The 6,000-nt window shown below is 57.6% G+C and overlaps 1 protein-coding gene across 2 annotated transcripts in view; it reads left to right on the top strand.

Annotated features, from left to right (window-relative positions):
* Positions 1-3,210: 3,210 nt before the first annotated feature.
* CSPG4 (chondroitin sulfate proteoglycan 4) overlaps positions 3,211-6,000 on the top strand; it is a 39,145-nt gene continuing 36,355 nt past the window's right edge. Inside the window, exon 1 of one of the 2 annotated variants that reach the window (XM_047432196.1) lies at positions 3,211-3,296. Coding sequence is in view for 1 of the 2 variants with exons in the window: in NM_001897.5 (NP_001888.2) it covers positions 3,922-4,009 (88 nt within the window). In the remaining variant the exon portion in view is untranslated. Of the gene's footprint in view, positions 3,297-3,828; positions 4,010-6,000 lie in introns of those variants that run through there. The other variant, NM_001897.5, reaches the window with a different exon arrangement.

Here is a 6,000-nt window from a genome sequence, read left to right as displayed (position 1 = left end):
GCAGGATCAGGACCACTCCTAACAGAGGCCCCAGGTCAAAGGCCCAGGCCCAGGGCCCGCTGCCATGGAGCTCTTGGCCAGAAAACTGCAGGGCCACTGAGCCAGCGCCTAAAGCCCGTGCCCTCTTGCACAGTAGTGGCCTAGGTTCTGTGACCTTCATGGCAGAGGGCCAATTCCCTGAGGGCGGGCCCTGGGCAGCAGGAGCACACCCCTGCTTAGGCACCACCCCATCTAGGGCACAGGCACACACCATTTCCCAGCAAGCTGGCTTTGGCCACAGGCTTCTTGGGTGGGGCCCAGGCAACGAGGGTGCAAAACACCCTGGCCAAGGGTGGGGCCAAACCACAGCCACTGCCCAGAGCGGGGACTCTTAGTCCAAGAAGCACTAGAGGTAGGAGTGACCAGCAGTGCTTGGCCAGCATGGTTGGGTGAACTCTGCTGGCAGGGAGGTGAGTATTACTGGGCCCTCTGTTGTCTTGTTCTCCAAGAACAATTGGAGAAATGGAGGCAGCACATACCACAGGTCACTGTAGCTTCAGAGAAGTTTGAATCTTCTTTTGCCCCTGGGTGGGAACATCCTTCTTCCTTCTTATAAGTGTGTTCTAAGCCTCCTTCTTTCCTCCTCCCTCCCACCCTGTGCTCTGTCCCATGCTTGGCTGGGGAGGCATGGACGCACACCTCCTGACCCAGCTAAGCAGGCCCCAGGTGAAACTAGGAGAGCTACGGAGATCAGGATTCCAGGGAATCTTTTGAAAGAGAAGTCGACGAGCACGAAGGAGGGCTAGGAGGGCTTGCTGGAGGAAGGTGAGATGTGGCCAGGGAGGTAGGGGCAGTCAGGGATGGCCACCAAGGATGCCTGGCCAAGCAAAGTCATGGGAAAGGTTGGAGGGCAGAAGGAAGAAGGCCCGAGCCAGACCTGAGGATGCCAGAGAGGCCCAGGTCAGCTCTGTTCAGCACTGAGGCTTCAGGGCCTTGGGTGAGCTTGCTGAGGAGCTGGAGAGGGGACAGTTGAGGAGCAGGCACAGCTGGTCCAGCAGCCTTTGTTCCAAGACAGTGGGAGGTGGTCAGGGGTCAGTTCCAAAGGCACACAGGGACCTCGACTTTCTGCCAGTCTGCCTGGCATGATGCTGCTCAGCATTGGTCCGGAGTTCCAGCCCTAGGTTACGGCTGAGCAAAGGCCAGGCCTGTGTGCGCTGGAGCCGCAGCATCCCTTTTCCACTGAGAGCCTCAGTTTCCTCATCTGGAAGCAGGGACACAGTTGGCCAACACATACGCTTCCCAAAGTTGTCAAGAGACCAAGTGAATGTTTTTTGTAAACTGGGAAGCCCCAGCAGAGATGCGCCAGCCGGGTTATTACCGCTGTGCTGGTTGCCATTATTTTCCAGGCCTGTGTTTCTCTGCCCAGCTAGCAACAAGGCAGGGGGAGGCTCCCAGCTAATCCAGACTTGAATCTCAGCTGTGGGTGGGAGCACCCTGTCTGGAGGCTCCACAGACATCTGTGTAGGTGGGGAGCAGGGAAGATGGGGAGGGGGTGGGGGGGGGAGATGGGGCCAGCAGAGATCTTCACCCAGATTTTTGATTCATAGAGCAAAAAGCCTTCTGTCTTATTTTTTCATTCCTGAAAAGAAAGCTCTTTTCCTCCAAACACAGTCTTCCAAGCAGCACCCCCACCCCCAGCCCCATAGCTTGTCAGTAATTAGCCCCTAATGAGGACCAGGTGTCCTACCGACTTGAGGAGAAGGAAAAACAAGGGACAGCCGGGCGCGGTGGCTCACACCTGTAATCCCAGCACTTTGGGAGGCTGAGGCGGGCAGATCACGAGGTCAGGAGTTCAAGACCAGCCTGGTCAACATGGTGAAACCCCATCTCTACTAAAAATACAAAAATTAGCCAGGCATGGTGGTGCACACCTGCAATCCCAGCTACTCAGGAGGCTGAGGCAGGAGAATCGCTTGAACCCGGGAGGCAGAGGTTGCAGTGAGCCGAGATCGCGCCATTACACTCCAGCCTGGGCAACAGAGCGAGACTCTGTCTCAAAAAAAAAAAAAAAAAAAACAAGGGACAAATTGTGGAATCAATGCCTTTACCGCCACTGAGGCCAGCCTAGCACAGCCTCCATCCCAGGCCTCCTAGGGCACCTGGATGGAAGCTCTTAGGTTTGCCAAAATCCCTACAGAACAGCAGCAATTGGTTTCTTAGTCAACTACAGCAGGCATTTATTGTACACCTACTGTATGCAGCAGCCTCTGGAGGAGAAAGTTCAAGCTTTACAACAAGGGAGGTGATATGTGTAAAGCTGTATGTAAACCATGAATCACAGGGAATGTGCAGGATGACAGAGACGGAGGAGAAAGGATAAGCATTTATTGAGCACCTACCGTATGCCAGGCCCTGGGCTAGGGACTTGAGGTACATTAAAGCATTTAATCCTCATTAACCCAATTTTACAAATGAGGAAACTGCCACAGAGAGGTGAGGGGACTTGTTCAAGGTTTGACAACCAAGTAAGGGAGCTGGGATTTGAACCCAGGTCTCTCTGGTTTCAAGACCAATACTCATAACCCCCACATGGACCAGGCACCATCACACCTGAGCACTGCACTTAGGGTCAAAGACCTGGCCCCACATCTCAGCAGCTATGTAGACTAGCTCCAGTCCCTTAATCTCTCTCAGCCTCAGTTTCTTCATCTGCAAAACAGGTCTCAGTTTCGTTGCAAAGTATGAAGTGCTGGGCTGTTACTGGTCAAAGGGAAGAGCTGGGAAGAGGGTGCAAGGTGGGGTTGGGCTGGAGATGGGCTGGAGCAGATAGATGGAGGGACCTGAATGGAGGAAGTAAACCAAGGCCCGGTAACATTGGGACTGGACAGAGAACACGCAGATCCTCTAGGCACCGGAAGCTAAGTAACATTGCCCTTTCTCCTCCTGTTTGGGACTAGGCTGATGTTGCTGCCTGGAAGGGAGCCAGCAGAAGGGCCCCAGCCTGAAGCTGTTAGGTAGAAGCCAAATCCAGGGCCAGATTTCCAGGAGGCAGCCTCGGGAAGTTGAAACACCCGGATTCAGGGGTCAGGAGGCCTGGGCTTCTGGCACCAAACGGCCAGGGACCTACTTTCCACCTGGAGTCTTGTAAGAGCCACTTTCAGCTTGAGCTGCACTTTCGTCCTCCATGAAATGGGGGAGGGGATGCTCCTCACCCACCTTGCAAGGTTATTTTGAGGCAAATGTCATGGCGGGACTGAGAATTCTTCTGCCCTGCGAGGAAATCCAGACATCTCTCCCTTACAGACAGGGAGACTGAGGTGAGGCCCTTCCAGGCAGAGAAGGTCACTGTTGCAGCCATGGGCAGTGCCCCACAGGACCTCGGGTGGTGCCTCTGGAGTCTGGAGAAGTTCCTAGGGGACCTCCGAGGCAAAGCAGCCCAAAAGCCGCCTGTGAGGGTGGCTGGTGTCTGTCCTTCCTCCTAAGGCTGGAGTGTGCCTGTGGAGGGGTCTCCTGAACTCCCGCAAAGGCAGAAAGGAGGGAAGTAGGGGCTGGGACAGTTCATGCCTCCTCCCTGAGGGGGTCTCCCGGGCTCGGCTCTTGGGGCCAGAGTTCAGGGTGTCTGGGCCTCTCTATGACTTTGTTCTAAGTCTTTAGGGTGGGGCTGGGGTCTGGCCCAGCTGCAAGGGCCCCCTCACCCCTGCCCCAGAGAGGAACAGCCCCGCACGGGCCCTTTAAGAAGGTTGAGGGTGGGGGCAGGTGGGGGAGTCCAAGCCTGAAACCCGAGCGGGCGCGCGGGTCTGCGCCTGCCCCGCCCCCGGAGTTAAGTGCGCGGACACCCGGAGCCGGCCCGCGCCCAGGAGCAGAGCCGCGCTCGCTCCACTCAGCTCCCAGCTCCCAGGACTCCGCTGGCTCCTCGCAAGTCCTGCCGCCCAGCCCGCCGGGATGCAGTCCGGGCCGCGGCCCCCACTTCCAGCCCCCGGCCTGGCCTTGGCTTTGACCCTGACTATGTTGGCCAGACTTGCATCCGCGGGTGAGTGAGGGGCCTGAGACCCCGACCCAGCCTGGCGGAACTAGAGGGGTTCCTCCGGGAGGGAAAAGGGACAGGAGGAGCCAGAAGTGGCCCCCAGATCGGGAGTCAAGCAGGCTGCGCTTCTCCCACCACTAGCTGGGGTCGCCAGGGGTTCAATCCTGGGGCGGACACGGGACCCCGCTATCTCAGGTTATGGGGTTTCTAGCTAGCCAAGGCTGTCCAGTTAGGGGCGGGAGCAGGCGCCCCAGGCATGGATTGCCTAGGGCGTGGCTTTGCCCGTTTGGATTGTCTGAGACACCAGTGGGGCCACCCCAATGCTGGCCGAGCTTTGTTTGCCAGGCAAGTTTGGGGTGAGTATGTTGGGGTCCAAAGGGACCCGGCGACAGTGAGAAGTGGGTCCTCCAGCTTCAGATGCCCTGGGCCAGGAATGGGGAGTGCTACAAGGTGGGAAACGAGGAATGAGCCACCCTGCCCTCCCCTGTGAGGAGCACCCCCACACCCCTCCAGCTGCCCCCCAGCTCTGCCCCTTCTTTCCTCCCCTTGCTTCCTTGCAGATCCGTCTATCTGCCACCTCCCCTCTTCATTCTCTCCTCTCCCTCCTCCTGTTGGTGACAGGCAGGACCCCCCACCCACTACCCACTCTCAGCCTCCTAGAGGGAGAGCTGGTGCCCCTCAGCGGGGCTTGTCCTACAGATAGCTCTGGACCACCCCCTGCCACACCTCCTCATCCCAGCACTGATGCCTGACCCAGCAGAGGCTGAATGGAAGTTCGCTTTCCGAGAAGTGCTGGGATATATCCCCTCTCTGTCCCGATGCCAGAAACCCCAACATGACAGCATTCTTCCTTCAGCGAAGGCAGCTCTAGTTATGCCATAAGAACTGTGGCCTTAGGGCCCATCCATCATCACTACCCACGTGTGATTCAGTGCTTCAGCTACACCTTCGAGATCATTCCCAAGAGCAACATGGAGCAAAGGCAGGGCCTGAGCCTCCTTCACAAGGGCCCAGGCCACACCCTTCTCTCCTTCAGATGGAGAAGCCAGCTCTAAAAGAGGGCATCACATGGTTCCCAGAAGGGAAGTGAGTCAAGGGAGGACCCCCGCGGGGTGAATCAGGGCTGGATCTCCAGGCTCCCTGTTCCTGCAGGGACCAGATCCCCTAAGATCTCAGGGCCTGAGGGATGGGCTGGGCCGCCAGGGAGATGGGAAGGGAGCATCCAAGGTGACCAGGGTGGTCAGCTCATTCAGGCCCCAGCCTCCAGCCAAGGAGGGATTCCAGTACCCCCACCTCCTTGGGCTTCAACTGAGAGCCATTCTCAAATACCTTCTTAGCCCTGACAGCATGCAGGCATGGTGCTAGGCTCGCAGGGGCACGGGAAATTGAGAGGCTGAACTGAGACTCATTCAGGAGGCAGAAAGGCAAATTAAATCTCAAACAGCAAAAATCTGGATGAAAAGTACAGAGGGGAGAAAAGCAGGGGCAAGCTGGGGCAGGACACAGGGTGGGCCTCAAACCAAGCCTTGGTGGATGGGAAGGGAGTCAGTCCTCCAGGCAGGGGCGCTGACTCAGAGGCACCAAGGTGGGCGTAAGCAGAGGGGTGTTGAGACAGGAAGGCCAGCAGCCTGGCTGGGAGGCGTATTTCGAGCACAGGCCAGGGAGAACCACTGGGCTGGGGCACAGAAGCCTTAAATGGCAAAATGAAGCCCACGGCCTTATGCCCTGTTGGCAAAGGAGATGCCACAAGGGTTTTAGGGCAAGAGAGCAGCATGGTGCTGTGGGGTTTTATAAAGTTACACCATCCCCTGCCTTTAGGAGGACTCGGAAATGAGGAGGGGCTGTGAGAGCTCCCGTCCAGCAACCCATCTCTGTCACCACTCCTGGTCCAGCTGCCTGCCCTGATTTCTGCAGTAGGGGCAGCCCCTGCCTGAGGAAGGCGTCCCTCCCACCCCTCCTGGATGCCCCTGGCTGCAAAGGCCCTCGTCCTCCCGTAT

This window comes from Homo sapiens, chromosome 15 (assembly GCF_000001405.40).
Source record: "Homo sapiens chromosome 15, GRCh38.p14 Primary Assembly".
NCBI lineage: Eukaryota > Metazoa > Chordata > Mammalia > Primates > Hominidae > Homo > Homo sapiens.
Note: the sequence above shows the minus strand (reverse complement) of the source record. Positions and strands in the feature narration are given on the sequence as shown.